We start from the raw sequence: 19,363 nt of genomic DNA, 5'->3' as shown, positions 1-19,363 counted from the left end.
GGTCTTAGACCATTCAGCCCCACTAGGCTTCTGATTCCTTGCTAGTGAAAGAGAATATGGACTGCCTGCCCTGCTGTCTTCACGTGTTCACTGTACCCATTACACAATCTCTTTGTACATACTTCTCTTAGAGAACATGCCACACCGGATCATTAGTATTTGTGCCCTTGTCAGTCTGTCTGATTAGATTCTGAGAATGTGGAGATTAGGGTTGGAGCTTTGGTTAGCTCTGAAATCCCAGTGCCTAGCACAGTATATGCTCAGTAATTGTTTATAAAGTAAGAGCCAGGGTATCAGTCAAGTTATTCAAAAGCTGGGTATCTGTCTTAGTCCATTTAACTGCTATACCAAAATGCCATAAACTAGGCAACTGATAAGTGACAGAAATTTATTTTTCTCAGTTCTGGAGACTGGGAAGTCCAAGATCAAGGCACCTGCAGATTCAGTGTCTGGTGAGGCCCCATTTCCTGTTTCATAGAGGGCACCTTCTTACTGTGTCTTCACATGGTGGAAAGGGAGAGCTATAATAACTTCCTGGAATCTCTTTTTATAAAGGCTCTAATCCCAATCATGAATGTCCTGCCCTCATGCCTAATCACCTCCCAAACTCCCCACCTCCAAATACCATCACCTTCAGCATGAGGTTTTAACATATAGATTCTGGGAGAACACAAGCATTTAGACTGTAGCAGCATCTGTGCACCTTTAATAATATCCCTTAGCCTCCTGCCATCCCTATGCTAAAAGCTGGAGTTAGCAGAGAGAACTTTGAGTGCACACTGTGGTGGGCCAAATGGTGGTCCCCAAAAAGATATGTCCAAGTCCTGACTCCAGTACCTGTGAATGTATTCTTATTCAAAAAAACAGTCTTTGGGCCAGGCGTGGTGGCTCACACCTGTAATCCCAGCACTTTGGGAGGCCGAGGCGGGTGGACCATGAAGTCAGGAGATCGAGACCATCCTGGCTAACACGGTGAAACCCCGTCTCTACTAAAAATACAAAAAAATTAGCCAGGCGTGGTGGCGGGCACCTGTAGTCCCAGCTACTCGGGAGGCTGAGGCAGGAGAATGGCGTGAACCCAGGAGGCGGAGCTTGCAGTGAGCCAAGATGGCACCACTGCACTCCAGCTGGGTGACAGAGCGAGACTCTGTCTCAAAAAAAAAAAAAAAAAAAAAAGAGAAAAGGAGTCTTTGGCTGGACATGGTGGCTCATGCCTGTAATCCCACCATTTTGGGAGGCCAAGGCAGGCAGATCACCTGAGGTCAGGAGTTCGAGACCAGCCTGCCCAAAATGGTGAAACCCCGTCTCCACTAAAAATACAAAAAATTAGCCAGGCATGGTGGCAGGCACTTATAATCCCAGCTACTTGGGAGGCTGAGGCAGCAGAATCGCTTGAACCTGGGAGGGCAGAGGTTGTAGTGAGCCAAGATTGCACCATTGCACTGTATCCACCCTGGGCCACAAGAGCGAGACTCTGTCAAAAAAAAAAAAAAAAGAAAGAAAGAAAGAAAGAGAGAGAGAAGGAAAGAAGAAAGAAGAAAGAAAGAAAGAAAGAAAGAAAGAAAGAAAGAAAGAAAGAAAGAAAGAAAGAAAGAAAGAAAGAAAGAGAAAGAAAGAAAAAAAAGAAGGCCGGGCGCGGTGGCTCACGTCTGTAATCCCAGCACTTTGGAAGGCCGAGGCAGGTGGATCACGAGGTTCAAGACAAGCCTGGCCAAGATGGTGAAACCCCATGTCTACTAAAATTACAAAAATTAGCTGGGTGTAGTGTCAGGCACCTGTAATCCCAGCTACTTGGGAGGCTGAGGCAAGGAATTGCTTGAACCCGGGAGGCGGAGGTTGCAGTGAGCCGAGATAGTGCCACTGCACTCAGACTGGGCGACAAAGTGAGACTCCATCAACAACAACAAAAAACAAACAAACAAACAAAAAACACCAAAAAAGAAAAGAAAAAGAGTCTTTGTAAATATAATTAAGAATATCAAGATGAGATCATCCCGGACTAACCGGGTGGGCTCTAAATCCAATAACCAATGTCCTTGTAAAAGGTGGAAGAGAAGGCCACGTGAAGACAGTGGCAGAGATTGGAGTTATGCAGTCACAAACCAAGGAAGACATGGAGCTGCCAAAAGTCAAAAGAGGCAAGGCAGGTTCTCCCCTAGAGCCTCCGGAGGGAGCACAGTCCTCCTAACACCTTGATTTTGGACTTCTATCCTCCAGAACTGACATAAAACATAAGCATTCATTCAAATATTTGTTGAATGAATGAATGAAATTTAATCTCCAAAGGTGAATAACACACAACATGAATGACCATGCACCAGGTATAAAGAACAAACTTCTATTGCTTTAAGCTACTAAGTCTGTGGCAATTTGTTTTGAGCACCACAGAAAACTAATACAGCCCCAAACCTTCAAGGTCGGTCCCTGCCTGATCTGAGTCACTGCAGCAGCTCCAGGCAGCGCAGGACTTCAGAGGCCATGGGGCCTTGTCACCAGGCAACCAGGGGCCTTTGGAAGCCCAGTTTCCATGTTGTGAACACAGGTGACCAAAGTTTCATTTGTTGCTTTCGACCACCAGCCTTGGAGAGAGTTAGAAAGCAATGGGGGAATTCAGAGTAATGTGATTTGTCATCCAGGGAAGTGACCAGATGAGAAGTCACCAATTATTGGCTTGCTCAGCAGAGGGAAATGAAAAATAATTGTTGGAAATAACATGAAAGCCTCCAGAAACAGAAGGGCTCTCATTTGTGAGACACCAGCCTCTGAGGGAATTTCTGGTGTGAAATTGCTTCCCTTAATATTATTAGAAAGATTTGTGTTCATTATAATTTAAATATGGCAAACGAAAATTAAGTTATATGGATTTTGTGTGACCACCTTTTGGTTTATATTCAACATTATCCAAACAGCTCATGAGTGGTTAGTTGATTCCCTCTAAGCTACAGTTTCCCCATATGTAAGATAGAGACGACAGTAGTACTTGTTTCACAGGTTTTCGGTAGAAATAAACAAGACAATTTTTATAGGTGGTTAGCACAGCAATAAGAGCATAGTATTCAGTAAGAATAGTCATTATTATTACTACTGTTGTTGTTGTTTTCTATGCCAGAATACAGTGAAGCAAAAGAGCAAAGTGGTTGAGGCTCAAGCTATGAGGTCAAACAGTCATGGGTTTGAATGCTGGCTCTAGCACAGACAAATAATGTAATATTTATAGAAAAAAATCACTAGGCCTCAATTTTCTCTTCTGTAAAATGGAGATAACAATAGAGTTATTTGTCCAAGCCATTAAGAAATAAAGTGCTAGGTGTAAAGCATCTAACATAACAGCTGGTTGCATGGTCTTTCATGTTACGTGTTTTTCACCCTTAGGGATTACAATTTCATCCATTCACTCATTCAACAAATATTTTAATGAGTGCTCATGCTTTATGTCTGACAAGAACTAGAGGTTTAGTGGTAAACAAGACTGTCACACTGCCTACTCTCCGGGAGCTTACCTGCAAGTGGGGGAGACAGGCATTAGCTAACCATGAAATAGGTGGAGATGATTGCATATCACAAACCCTTTAGAGACAGTGCTGTGTTTTTTCAAGAGGAAGTTAATAGCATGCCTGCCTGCCAGAGGTATATTGTATAAACTAAATGAACCTGAATGTTGGCAGGACCATTTGCCATCTCGTCTGCCCCCACAAAAGGGAAGACATTAACTGTAAACTCGAGTGGCAGGAATGGAGGAAGAGAGATGATAGGGTGGCACCAGGGAGCCATTAGACATCTTCTGTCTTCCATGAGATGCTCAGATCTTTAATGAGGTTCTAGACGTAGGAACTATCTGAGGGCAAACGGATTTTCTTTTGATGGAAACCAGAGAAGAAGCAGCTTACATCTTTACATCTAGGTTATGAGATACTGGGGGACAGAATGCGGAATCTTGACTGCACACCCCAGCCTGGGAACAGAAAGGCAAAGGGCACAAGAAGAGGAAGGGAGCAATTAGGGGTTAGCCCAAGTTTAGCTAGGTCTTCCTGAACCAAGATGGATTCTAACCCCATAAATGAGTTTCATGCAATTAATTCTTTAAATATCACAGTGATCAAAGTAGGAAAATAGCTGACATGGCAACAAGTGAAGGAAAAGCCCCTAAGGAGGTGACAGGTGAGTCACGATGTGAAGGCTGAGACAGAGCCAGCCCCACAGAAGCCTCCCAGGTGGCAGAAGTAGCAGCAATAGCTCAGGGACCAGAAAGAATGTGTTGTATTAGAGGAACTTCGCAGAGACCAGAGTGAGGATGGGGTGAGCCAAAGACAGTGTGATATGGAAGGAAACTGGAGGGATAGGCAGGGATTTCTGATGAATAGACTCTAAGGGCAGGACTTCTTTGAGATCTATAGAGGCCTGTGCTCTTAGGACATTTCACAACGATGACATGTCAGAATAGGGTTGTAAGTCACGATAAACTGCAATTATTTACCTTTCACAAATTAACTCTTTTGTCACCCTAAGATTACAATGATATGTAAAGGTGCTATTTACAAAATAATAGATTTATTTTTAAAAGTTGATTAATGCATACTGCACTATAGGTTGCGTGGTCTGGTAACGGGACACATGTTTCAAGATAGATTGTAAATGTCTTTGCTCGATCTCAATATTACGATATCTCTAAAATCTTATTTTAAGATAAAGTTAGAAATCTACATTTAAAGGCCTTGACCACACGGCCTTCTCAAGGAGTCCCTCCACCCCTGTTCCTGACCCTCTGATGGCCTAAAGATTTGCAGAAACAGATATAATTGCCTAAAGAGACTCTGTGTGGCAGCCCCTAGCAAAGTCCCCATGGGGGACAGGATGCAGAATCCACAGGGCATATCCCAAAGGAGATGCTCACTAAGTGTTTGATGAGTGGGCGAGTAAGTATTCACAAATGACTGCACGCTGACACACCACTTTCCTGTTCAAAGTCCCAACCCATGAGACATAATTGACTTCCCAGGAACAAAAAAGACAAAAAACAAGTGAAACTCAGAGACAATAAGTTTAGATGCCCTAGACATGTTTTTGAATTAAGTCAGTTTCTCCAACGCTTTGATGCCGCAGTTTGATTTGGAGAATGCAGTAGATTTTAAGCATCAGCAAAATAGCCACATGATTCCATTTGGTGTCTGCTCTGCCTCCAGCCCTGCTAACTTAGGACAGCAACCCCAGGCTTCTCACCTTACAGGCAGAAGGTAGCTTTGAAAGGACATGATATTACTCAGTGGTGTGTTCTCATATTCACTGTCTGGAGAAGAAATGAAAAGGCTCCAATGTATAATCTTGGATAATTTATAAGAATATCTCATCTCTGCTTTGAAATTCATTTATAGAAGTTGTATCTTTATTAACTTGCTATGTGACCTTGAGCAAGTCAGTTAACCTCTCTAGGACTCTTGATAAAGTCTAAATTATGTAGAATTTACCTCATAATACTATTATGAAGCTTCCATGAAAAAAGCATTTAGGAAAAGATCCAAATTTGGGGGCGGGGGGAATGAAGCCAATACAAATAGAAGGGCCCTATTTTAAAAAGAGGAACTTAAAATTATTAGGTAGAAGGTCTTAGAAGCTGTCCAGACAAGTGAGAGTCCATCCACTTTAAGCTTCATGGCAATTCTATCTCTGGGAAAGTGATAATCAGATAATACTTATTGTAAGAATAATTAGCACAGACCCTTTTGGTCTTACTAGATAGGTGTGGGCTAGAAGGGACAATTTCTGACCATGCTGCAGCTGCTCAGAGAAAGGAAAGTTTGCATTTCCTGTGAGAGGCTGGGTGTCTTTTGCTGCCCAAAGATGGCATTTTACTTGAGCTGACGTCAGACCTCAAATTCTCTCCTATGTGGACAAGCCCAGCACAAATGCCTCAGGGTGTGACTTAATTCAATTCAATTTGAATCAATTCAGTGCATGCCAGAGGGCATACACCCCAAGAAGACGTTGATTCAAAAAGAACTTGAGACAGGGTTTCCGTGTTCAAAAAGTTGAAGTCTAGCTGAGGAGATGACCTTGACACACATTCGATAAGTAGAGAATGTGATGTTGTAGCATCATGGCAAACTTGAATCTTATCTAATTCTTACTCTCCTCTTAGGACAAGCTTCAATCACTGTTGTAAAGTGTGTCCTGACCACCCAGCCTGCAGACTCTCACTCCGCTCATCCCACACTTAGAGATGAGAGCACTCATTTGGCATTTATGGTATCTTGTCCTGCAGCAACTTTTGCATCGTCTTGCTATATAATTGAGTGTGTGTTTGGGGTGGTGGTGGTGGCATTGATGATGACACTGATGATGATGATGACATCTCCCAAATAAGATCATAAGCTCTTTGAGGGCAAGAACCAGGTTATTAACTTCCATATAATCCTGCAAGCCCTGTTCTGTCCTGTTAAATGAAAGAGTTATGTATCAAATGTTAAAATATGACATTCAGACTTAGCTCATAATGTATGCCATGGGCTGTTAGAAGAGGGACTGGTTGGAGGTAATAAAAGAGGGTTTCTGCAAGGAGGTTGAGCTAAATCTCCATGAATTTTATTTCACAGTGTTAGTGCATTTCTCCCTAGCTATACAGCTCATCACTCCCACTTTTGAGCACCAAGCACCAGTTTGGACTTCTACAAATAATTTGAAAGAGAGGCAGTAGGGTAATTTGCCACCCCGAAGAGGGAAATTGTTCAAATCAGGATTTGATTGCAGGAGAGAAACAGAGGTAGATATTGGAAGAGAATATAAATATGTTGCAACCTAATTTGAAACTTCTTGGGAGAAGTGAGGACGGGCCAGGGATCAGGAATGATGAGAGCTCAGGGAATCAGCCTGGGGAAGGCCAATGTGGACTCTATGAGCGGAGACTTAAGGGCACACAGTTGTGGGGAGTCATCACCACACTGAGCAGAGAGGAAAGGGCAAAACATGTGGCAACCAAGTTTAGGACTGACAGTGGAAGAGCAGTGCTGCACTAAAAGCAACCACAGCCGCACATACACTTGATGAACACTGCAAATGGGAAGGCTTGCCAAGCAATTATTCCTGCTCACTGCCAACAGGATCCTATCTCTCCAAGCAAAGCAGTGTCCTGCTTCTCTGTGGGCCCTGCTGCTGCAGCCTTTGTACTTCCTGAAGTCAGTACCAGGAATGCCTCCCTGCCCTCAGGCCTTCTCGCCTTTTGAGGTCAAGCTTACATCACTTGAGAGACTTCCCTGATGTGCCAAGCAGGTGTCTTAAAAACCTAAGTCCTGCACAATTGGAGTTCCAGCAGGGAAGCACAACTCCCATAACCTCTACTTAGGAGTGTCCCTTTTCTATCATGGAATGGCACCTCTTTGACCAATGGAGCAATGGAAGGAAGAAAGGGCCAAGAAGCCAGTCAATGATACCAGCTGAATAATCAACTCTGGTAAACATGGCATGATGAAGAACTCAACAAGATGAACCTTCTTCCCAGCCCAGGCCAAGGGTGTCTGCACCCCTCATAGTTACACTTAATACTACACTCCTTGGCATTGCTATCTAAATATCTCAAGATTTGGGCACAAAGTAGGTGCTCATCAAATTCTTACTGAATACATTAAAACCCTTTTGTTTTAATTTAAAAGTCAGGGAAGTCTTTGTGCCCAGAGTTTCAGTTTCCCAGAGTTCCATTGATCACAAAAGGTGACCTTGTCATCCAATGCACTCTGTCTCTTATATCCCATTAGCTTTTTCCCAACAATAAGACCCTAGAGGTTGCATACAGGATGGAAGTTTCCCCTACTGTGGGAAGGATCCAATTTCTCAGCAGGCTGATTTCTTTCTGGGTACAGAAAATCTTGCAGCTGAGACAGAGCCTCTTCTCATAACCAGGGCAGGCAAAACTAAATATCACTTCATACAATCCATCCCCACAAGGACAAAGCTGTTCTTTACTGAAACCCCACTTGGCACTAGGTAGCCCTGGACATTCCCCTTGCAGCATCTTCCTGTTCTGATAGTCTCTTCCAAAGGGACCACTGGGGACTGCAAGAGACCACTGTCGACAACCGATAAATGCAGTCTTCAAAGCCACTCATCCATTCTTAATGGACAGCCCGTTAATTTGAGGTCTAGGTCATGAATTTGAATGCTATGCACTGAACACCTCTTCAGCAAGAAAACCTGGTTTTGCCTCAGGGTAAATGGTGATTCATTAATTGTAATTAAATTAGGCTGGTGGCTTAAACTGGATGTGACAAAATGAAAATCCCCATATAAAACCTGAGATGCGTATCACAGGCCTTCTGTCAACAACATCTAGTTTTTGTCTAAGTGGATTTAAAGGGAACAAGATGCCTCTTCTTTAAGAAAGAAAATAAACTACCTCAGTTAAATAGGGAAATAAATAACTCCTGAATGTTGCTCTATTTCTTTTTCATTCAGGTCCTGCTACAGAGACCTGGAAGGACTAATAATAAGGGTTTTAAGTGTCCCTTGCATATCTCGGAGAAAATGAGCAGCATCCTAGGAAGCCCCTTTAGGGTTGGCTCTGAAGCCCATCTACCCACATCCCACTGGCCTTGGGCTGTAATCTGAGTTCTCTTGGCAGAACAAACACAATTGCCTTTTAGTGCAGTGGGTGAATGGGCTGAATCCTTGGATGGAAACCTGGAGTCCTGAGATCTCACTGCGGCTCACTCAGCAGTTAGCTGTTAACTTTGGGACTCTTTGTCCCTGAAGTCCCTTAACTGAAATAAGGGGGTTAGACAAGGTTCCTCTTTTACAGCAAAAGAAAGCTAAACGGAAACACAAAATGAAACAGGTAAACATGAGGTTTCTCTGGTTGAACGGAGTGGAGGAGTCTTACCTGCTGTGACCCCCAGTCCCACCTCTGAGCCCAGAAGAATCTCAGGAAAACCTAGAAGACAGTGAAGGAGAGTTTGAAACCCATTCAACTGGGTATTATCTCAAGTCTTTTCCAGCTCCAAAGCTTGTGAAAAGCATAATTTGTTCCATCATGCTATGAACTAGAATATGATTTTAAATAAAAAATGAAATCATAGTGTATTAGGGAGCATTTAATCAGAGAAGCAGAATCATTATCAGTGGTATAGAATAAAGGATCATTAATAGGAACAGACTTTTCACAATTGTGGGATATGGTGAAGAAGTGCCTGCAAGGCTGTTGAACCTGATGTTGGGCTGAAGCCACTCTACATCAGATGTGTAAACTGTTGGAAAAGAAAACCAAACTTGAAGTTAGAGAGACCATAGCAGATTGGAATCTATGACTGTCTCTCAATTACTCTTAGCATGATGATGCAGGAGACCTGCAAAAGCTGACACCTTCTGCCATGGGACTGCACTTACACCTGGCCCAGGAAGATGAAGAGGATCTGATGGGAGATGGTGCTGCCTCACCCTCACAGGCAAGCCAGCAGCTCAGCAACAATGTGGATCCCCTCTCAAAGTGCCCACAGCCACCTTCAGAGCAGGAAAAGGCTGGTGTTTAACTCCCATTTCCCAAGTCTTATACAAATATCTTTTGTGGCCAAACCCAGTCAAGAGTCGTATGGGAAAGGGAATTCTGGGAAACACAGTTCCAGCTTAGCAAAGTTGACAAAATACAAAGCCATCGCAACCCACCCAGGTCACATGGCTTCCATATGCACTTCTTTTAACCATACTTAACTTCCGAATAAAGACAAAAGCAAAATCTCATTTACAACAAACATAATGCATCAATCCTCCATCCAATCAAAATACACTATCCCTCTCCACAAAAGAGAACACAACATCATTTTACACATATTGGGCTGATGTGATTTTTGTTTTTAAGTCATACTCCATTTTGGATAGCTCACAATTTGCATACTGAGCTTTAGGTCTAACAACTATTAACACATCTTACATTATGGAATGGGAAAGAGGAAGACAGAATTGGCTGATATATATGTAAGATATTTAGGTCAAAATATGGAAGAAATGCTGATAACTATTACAGTCTTTATTTCTGCAACTTGTCACATAATTATATGTGGTATTTATAACTACCTTCTTCTATTACCCATTCCATACTCCTTTACCCTTTGCAAGTATATTGCCTAGAGGCGTTCCTTGGCTGGTGGGGCAACCTAAATCTTTATTTCTGAAGTGTCTGGGCCATTAGCAGTCCTGCATGTGGTGGCCATTATTTCCCACTGACTTTCATCCAGAGGAATCTAGGAGGGAGTGTACATTTTTGACAGTGTAGCAAGATCCTTCCTTGAAGGGACTCGAACTCCACTTCATTCCAAGGGCTCTGGTTCTTCCTCTGGCTCAGGTCTGGGGCTTGGTAGGTCCATAACTCTCTATTGTGGTGATTCAATGAGGCTTCTGGTCACTAAACACAGAATGCTTCCATTCACACAAAGTAAGGATACTGTTCATCTAGTTCAGTATGACAGACACCATCATCAATTAGCCAAAGTCAAAGATATCTTGTTTTCTGTGTTTACAAATAGTTACAAATAGATAAACATCCCTGCATATATATCTTTGCATATTGATGCAAATGTAGGATACATTTTTAAACAGAAGAGTATGAAACATTTTCTTTTAGGACCTCTTGGTTGCTGATTATTTGTTCATGCATTAATTCATCAATGGTTCTTCTGGGTCTATGGGTAGTAATTAAAATAATCATCATTTATTGCTGTTTTTAGCACTTACTATTTGCTAAGTGCTGTCCCTATAACATCTCTTTTAATTCCTACAACTAGATAAATGCTATTATTCCCATTTTACAGATAAGGAAATGCTCACAATTGCAGGAGCATATACAGGCATGAGAACCGTGGTGTAACGAATGTAAAAGCCTTAAGCCAGATCCCACAGCTAATGGTCGGTAGAGCCAAATTAAAACTTTCTCCTCCCAAAATCATTTTCCCTATATTATGGCCTAGAAAAAGATAAATAACAAACACATCTATTTAAATAACTTTTAAAATTAGTTTAATGAATGAATATAAAATCTGGATCTATCGCTGGTCAGAGACAAGATGAGGGAATCTTGAAAACACATGGAGCAGACAGTTCAGTCAAATGATTGTCCAAAGTTGTTGAAAGTTTTCAGGAACTGGGAGGTCTCTGGGAATAGAGGCAACCATAATACGGTAAAATAGGAAGAGTGTGTCTGTTTACTATTTGTATAATTTTAGCAAATCAATATACCTCCATTGCCTCATCTGTAAGATGAGGAAATAATAAAATCTATTTCATAGGTATGATGAAAGAAGTCAACAGCATATATAAGCACCTGATAGACTGTGAGGTGTTGTTGAATTAAATATTATAATTATTACCTTGGGGCTGCAGCAAGTCAAATAGTCACACATCAAATCAGCAGTAATTAGGGTGACAATTCCTAGCTTAGGAATGCCCTAGACAAACTAGGACATGCACTTAGTAATACTGTTGGGAGAGAGTCCCATTCAGTTTAGTACTTACACTTAGGAATACTGTTGACAGAGTGTCCCACTCAGTTAAATACTATTGGACTCTCAAATATTGCCTGGATTTGCACAATAAATTATAGGAGAACCAAAGCATCAGGAGTAGAGCAAGCCAGCCATTCACCAGGTGCAGAGGTTACTGGGTAGCACAGATTCTACTCCCTGTTATTTCTGTTTCCCTGGGGAGAACTAAAGCTAGGTGAGCCCAACCAAGGATATGGATTTCAGAAAGCATGCAAGGCTGAGAAGGAGTTTCCTGACAGTCTGGCTGATTTCCCAACATTCATTGATAAGCCAGACCTGGCAAATTATGTGCTTTACAAAGTAGCAAAAGCTTCTGCAGTACTAATTATGTGGCAGGCACAGTTCAGGGTGTCTTATATTGCCAATACGTTTAATCCTATTTTAAAATGCAGATGATAACCTACAAAGCAGGTTACCATCTGCATTTTACAGATAAGAAATTGAGGCACAGAGAGTAAGGTACTTTCTCCAAGATCACACAGCTATTATGTGCAAGACCAAGTTTTGAACATGTGTTAATGGGCTTCAGGGTCCACACTCACACATTCTGTTCTGCTGCCTCTCATCCTCCTGAGTCTAGAGGAGCAGAACAACAAGGTCCATTCAGGCAGCACATTAGGAGTGGAAACCCGTCCTCTTTCCCCAAAGAGAGCATGGAGATGAGCTTAACCTTTTGGACGTGCGTGATTTTTAAAGAACAGGGATTCTTTTCTGCTAATGGACATGGTCCTCTGCAGCATGTGCTCACTGCCCCATCCATCAGCCATAACGAGGTGCTGAAGCATCTTGACTTATAAGGTTTTGGAGCTGGAGACTGGGTATGATGATGTGTGAAGATCCTTCCTTTTTCCACATTGATGAAAATTTGCCCAGGTAAGCTGTATTTCTAATCACACGGGTTTGAAGAAAACGTTTCTGACCTATTGCTATTGAAGGGTTTGTAGGCAGAGTACAGAGAAGAAGACTGGTGGATGGTTGGTCTTTTTTTTTTGTGAATTTCTTCCTCATACCAACACATTCTTCAACTCTCTGGCACAAACTGAGTATCCTACAATTCAATTCAATTCTGACACTAATTACCTGAAGTGAGTGCAGCTCCCACAAATCAAAGGCTCAGTCCTGCAAGACTAAGACAACTCTCACGTCAGATGCCACCGGCAAGTCTTGTTCAACTGTACTTCTGATGGACCAGCTATAAAGTTGGGGGGATTCCCATCAACCTTGTCCTCAGGTTCAATAATTTACTAGAATGGCTCACAGAACTCAGGAAAGCGTTTTATTTACTATGAGCAGTTTCTAGTTGATCAAAATCCATCTCCAGCCTCTCTCCCCTCCTAGGAAGTCAGGGGATGGGACTGAAAGTTCCAACCCTCTAATCACATGGTTGGTTCCTCTGGCAACCAGCCCCCTTATTGAGGCTATCTAGGGCCCACCAAGAATCACTTCATTAGCATAAAGTCAGTTATGGTTGAAAGCTCATTGCTGCAAATAATAAAAGATTCTTCTATCCCTCCTGCCACTCAAGAAATTCCAACGGTTTTAGAAGATCTCTTTAAGGAACTGGAGACGAAGACCAAATATATATTTCTTATTATGTCAAAATAGTTCATTGCTCAGTGTTTACAAGGTCCTTTGAACAGGAATTTCTTGGATGAGATGGATTGGGAGAGATGAGAAAGGTAGCATGGTCCAGTTAAATTTAGATCCTGAGAGTCAGGACATTTAGGGCAACTGGGAACATTTGGGACATTAGGGAATCTGGGTCCTACTGCTGTTCTGAGTCAGCCATGTGACATCGGATACCCTGTGTCATTCACGCTCTGTGAACTTTCTAGCCCACGGGAATTTTCTGAGGAACAAGGAGAGAATAGATCCAAAAAGACTTGAAACAGTTTTTTGTTGTTGTTGTTGTCTTTTTTTTTTTTTTTTAATATCCTAGAAATGTAAATTTCCTGGGTCAGACCTTGAAAAAGAAAAGCGTGAAAGATAAACTTATAGGAATTGTGTTAAAATGGATCAGAAGGAACTGGAAATTCCACAGCTGGCCTGGGCTTTGTAAAATATATATAGTGAAATTTAAATCTGGAATGAGATTGTTACAGGGGTTTGTTTCTTTTTGCTTTTTTTGGAGACATGGTCTCACTCTGTCACCCAGGCTGTAGTGCAGTGGCACGATCTCAGCTCACTGCAAGCTCCACTTCCCAGACTCAAGCCATTCTGCAGCCTCAGCCTTCTGTGTAGCTGAGACTACAGGCACGTGTCACCAGCCCCCGGCTAATTTTTCTATATTTTATAGAGACGGGGTTTTGCCATGTTGCCCAGGATGGTCTGGAACTCCTGAGTTCAAAGCAATCCACTGGCCTCAGCCTGCCAAAGTGCTGGGATTACAGGTGTGAGCCACCATGCCCAGCCATGGATTTGTTTGTTTAAATGTTTATTACTCACGCTTGGTGTGAAGGAACTGAAACGTCAGTGGTCTCAGAAGAGTTCTACTCACAGGCCATCTTGCTCTGCCTCCCAAGACAGTCTCATCCCTCAGGTTTGCAGCCGCACCTCTCACACAGGTGACCATTAACTCTGCCCTCTCACGTCCTCAGACCCCAAGGAAGCCCAGCCCTACAGGAGGCATTATTGACTTCTGTTAAAACAGTCAGACCGGCCTTCCTACTATGAATTCACCCCAGCTCCTCACCTGCCTTTACCTTAGAATGAAGCATGAGCAAAAGTACTACCTGATGACCTGTGAGAATGAAGGACAGGGCAAAATGCAGCAGTATCTCGGGTACCGTCATCCTGGATGTGAGCGGCAGCATCAGCGGGCCGCTCTACGGGGTGTGTGTGAAAGGGCTGTGAGTGTGCTGACAGCCAGCTGATCACCCTAGATCCATGTTCCCTCCTCATAGTGTCAGTTTGTTGCTGAGAAGTGGCTGCCCAGCCAGGGACTGCATGTCACAGTCACCTGTCATCTAGGTGTGGCCATGCAAACTAATTTTCATGAATGAAACATAGCCAGAAGTGATCTGTGTCCCCTCTGGGTCTGAGTGAATAAAAAGCAGATGTGCCTTCTCCTTACTTTGTTCCCTGTCTTTCAGTAACTGGAGAGGACTCTGTGGCTCCAAAAGAGGCAAGAGCCACAAAGTAGAAGGGGCCTGGGTCCCTAAATGACCATGTGGAGGAAAGCCACCTGCCAGTCAGAAACATCTGCATTGGACTTCCACATGCATGAGAAAAATGTATATATATTGTGATAAGCCACTGTGGCTTGGAGGTTTGTTTGTTACAGCGCTGAGCCAATATAGTCACTAACACAGGAATTGAACACTTGTAGGCCCCAATGGAGTGCTTATTTTTTACCTTGAAACAAAAGAATTCTGGAAATTTAAAATGCAGCATAAGACTGTCTAGCCACACAGAAATGACAGGTGCTTACATGAGAAATTTCTATTTCCTCTAGGCCAATATAGTGCTCCTTCTCTCAGGCCTCTGTGAAAATCTTTAATCCCTTCCATGCTACACAGTTCAAAGGGCAGAGAAGAACCAGGAATCCTCACACAGGAAATCTCCAAGAACAACTGGAGCCTTCCTGATCACCAGGGTCCAGCTGGGGTTGATAATGCATGCTCCTGAGAAATCTGAAGGGACTGCCCCTCACTGAGAGAAAGCTGGGTGTGAGTCATCCCATTCTCACCAGATTAGTGGGTTTGCTTCCCCATCATTTGGATTATCTAATAGAAAGTAGAATAGCCACCATTAGATTTGTCACTTGATTTGGATAAAAATTGAGCCTGGATGGATGAGCATCTGGAGATGGCGGGGAGAGAATATTATTCCTCTGCGCTAATTTTGATTTAGAAAAATGTCCCTACTTGGGAAGATGCATAAGCATCATCCTACTGGTTTCACCTCCAGCCCCTGCACAGAGTCCAGAAGTGATCATCCTCCTTCCAGATCCTTTGTGGCACAGGCCTCTGCAGCACATGCCAGAATTCTGGGCAGTGGCCCACGAGACCTACAGGGGCCAGCACGGGCTGCGTGTGCCCAGGTGTGTGTGGTGCCCTCTCATCACAGCTGCTGTGACACCCGGGGAAGAGCAGCTGCCTGCCTTTTCCTTGCTAATTTCTCTTCCCTGCTGAGCTACATGGGGGAGAATAATTGCCTTCACTCTGAGCTCTGACATTCCCACATTCAAGCACCTGCTCTACCACTGTTCTCCCAAGAGGAAGACAATTTCTGCCACACTTGGTGTTTCCTTCATAGCAAGCCAGCTGATTAGAGAAGCACACTTTAAGAGATGACTAGGGGCCTGTGAATGAGGCCTGGACCAAAGCAGCATTTTGGAAGTCTGGTCGGCATTTTCCCTTGATGAAATACAAACTGCAGTGACAATTCCCCATAGTGACTGGGCAAAGGGTAGACTCCTCTGGAGCTGCTCAGCCCATCTCACTCTCCTACAAGGTCCCAGCCCTGTGAGCAGAAACAAATCAGGAAAACCTAAATCTAAGGAAATGGAAAACCATGTCATGGTCATTCAGTGATACCATATTGAATTTATCAGAAGCTTCCTCTAAGATATTCAGATTTATTCTCTGACTACTAGAGGGCTGGGATCAATTGATTTTTTTAGGATGCACATTCTTATTCTAGATTACAAGTTGTGATACTGTAGCAGTTATTAATTTTGGCAAGGTCAGAGGGCCAATGTCACAACATCTCATGGTGGATGGGCAGGACAATCTAGGACTCAAAGACTCCCCCTCTGTAAGTAAGTAGGACATACATAGGAAACCATAGCTAAGAAGAAAGACAGTTCTCATCATATCCTTTTATCATCCCCCAAAGAGTCAAACATTAGTGTTAGTTAGCCAACCATTAGGTTTTAATCTTAATTCAGATTACGTGTCCCAATTTTTTTAACTATTATAAACTTTTATATTTCTTAATCGTGCAAATAATAGACTTTGATATAGAAACATTAGATCAGGAGTTGGCAAACTGTTACCTGCAGGCCAAATCTAGCCCTTTGTCTAATTTTTAAAACAAAATTTTATTGGAATATGTCCATTTGTTTATGTGTTTTCTCTGGCTGCTTTCACACTGAGTCGAGTGTTGAGTTGTTGAAACCATACAGCCCAGAAAGCCTAAAACATATACTATATGGTACTCTCCAGAAAAAGTTTGCTGATGTTTGCATTAGAGTAAACTGACATGGAAAAGAAAAAATCAATATCTCATAATCTCATTGCTCAGAAATCATAAATGCTAATATTACCCATTCCTCGTTTTTATTCCTATGGAAGTAACTCTTTAGAAACAGGACCTTCATCCCAAATTTAGTTCATATGTTGAGACTTATGATGTTACACGCATGCCAACAGAGTATAAAAAGTTTCTTATTACATCGTCAAGGTTTTTCTGGGAAGAGCCGGAAAGGCCTCCCAAACTGGTCTTCGGATGTCTGGAAAGAGCCAGGAAAGGAGACTGACCTGGGGCTGTTAGGAGGGTTAGCATGTGGGGCAGAGTGAGAGCTTCTGCCTGAGGGCAGAGGCTTATATGGTTTGAATCTTACACTATTGCCAAAGGAGGGAGCACCCCGGTTTTCTCATCAGCTTCCCAGATATATGGTTTGGCTGTGTCCCCACCCACATCTCATCTTGAATTGTAGTTTCCATAATCCCAGGTCTGATGGGTGGGAGATAATTTAATCACAGGAGTGGTTACCCTCTAGCCGTTCTCATGATAGTAAGTTCTCCTGAGATCAGATGGTTTTATAAGAGGGACCCCCCTTCACTTGGTTCTCATTCTTCTTGCTGTCGCCATGTGAAGAAGGATGTGTTCGCCTCCTCTTCCGCCATGATTGTAGGTTTCCTGAGGCCTCCCCAGACATGCTAAACTGTGGGTTAATTAAAACTCTTTCCTTTGTAAATTACCCAGTCTCAGGTATGTCTTTATTAGCAGCATGAGAATGGACTAATATACCAGGGCTGGAGCAGAAGGGGCAGAGAGAGGGGTGAGGCTTAAACAGGGCTATCTGTCAATCATCAAGAAATGGAGGCACACTCCTTATTACAATAACACAGTTTCTATATCACTCCTCTTTTTAACCTACCCAGTATCTTCCCTCCCTGCCTTCTGACAGAAAGCAAATCTATGGTTTTACCCTACGATTCAGTTTTTCTGGGATGAATTCATGCCTCTATCCAACACCCCCAATTCCCTCTTCTCCCCTGCATCCCCCCACCCCACTCCCACAGCTTGTGTTCTGCTTCTTCCCAGGAAGAGGGAGTCAAGAATTTCTTGGACCATAACGAAGAGGAGTGAGGAAAGGGGAGACTAAACCTTTTGAAGAGTTCTCTGTTTTCCTCTTTGTGGCTCCCACGCTGGGCCATTTTCTGGCTTCTCCCTTAAGAGGCCTGGTCCCTAATAAGAGCCAGGCACCTTCCCCTTTTGAGGGAGAGGGGACATCTCTGTGGCATCCTGGAGTGAGTAGTTGAGACTAGCTCTGTCTTAGGCTCTGAGGAAATGTTACCTCTTTCCCTTCCATTTACTTTTTCTCATTACAAGAATCAAAGTATCTACAAATGCAAAATTAGGATATGAATCCAAAGAAAAAATCAGGGTCTCTCACCTTGGACAAAGGAGCCCTATAGATCCTACAGTGGGGCTGAGCTCACGGGGTGCCTACCCTGGGGTCTGGACTTTGAGGCTCAGGAAACAAGGCCTCCTTTGCCTGATGGCATTCACATTGCTGGATCTCCCCTGGGAGCCTCAACAAGAAGTAGCTGAGGGTGGAGGCAGACGTTGTTGGCTCCCAGTGAGCCTTCGAATACTCCCTGTCTGTGACACACTTAACTGAAGGGCAGGAATGAATACCAGATGCACTCTGAGGAGGAGGAAGAGAGTGAAGATTGGTACAGAGGGAAAGTAAGGGGAGAAGGGTATTCTCTACTATGTGCTAGGTGCTTTATAGACCATATATTTTATGAAAAGATTTTTATTGTGGAAATACCCAAGCACACACAAAAACAGAAAGACTAGTACAAGGAACACAGGTCCTCATGAATCATTTGAAACAATGACCATTCAATATTGCCTTATAAACTGTACAATAACCCTGAGAGGTAGATGTCATTCTTACCCCGGCTAGACAGGTTTGAGGACTTTGGGTTACTTGCCTGAGGCCACAGATCTACTCTGTTCACTCTGGCAGTTCACTCTGGCTCTAAATCCCACACTCTTTCAATAGCATGCTGCCTCCAGGGAGGGCTTTGTGAAGGATGGAGACTTAAACTGGGCCAGAAGTGTCAGAGAAGCAGCAAGAGGACATTTTGGGAAGAGGAGAGAGAGAGTGAGCTCACATCCAGTGACAAAGATGAAGAAAGGGCATTAAAAAAACAAAAATCCCATTAGTCATCTTCTGCCAGCAGTATTTTAAAATTTTCAGTGTGTTTAAATCAGTTTCTATTTGGAAAATCTACAAATTTAGTCATGTATGGAAATGTGCATTTAGAGGAAAGGATGCCTGTCATTTCCAGAAGGTGAGAGTAACCTCTCCTGCCATATCCCAGGGAATGTTAGCTATACAGATGCAGGGCAAGTGCCCATTTAGTGACAGAATTTGGGCCTAAGATGAAAGAGACACACAGGGAAGTCACAGACACTGGCTGTGAGTCTCAGGAAGAATGTTTTGGGCCTCATCCCCTATCCTAGCCACCATGAAGGCATCCAACCTTCATGTAGGAGCTGTGAATGGTGTTCTTCAGCCCACACCTCCCTGTTGCATGGCTGCTTACTAAGTAGAGCTAGCCCTTCCTTTTAGACAGAAAGAGACATTAATATGTGCCTTGTTATAA

Source organism: Homo sapiens, chromosome 15 (assembly GCF_000001405.40).
Source record: "Homo sapiens chromosome 15, GRCh38.p14 Primary Assembly".
Classification (NCBI taxonomy): domain Eukaryota; kingdom Metazoa; phylum Chordata; class Mammalia; order Primates; family Hominidae; genus Homo; species Homo sapiens.
Note: the sequence above shows the minus strand (reverse complement) of the source record.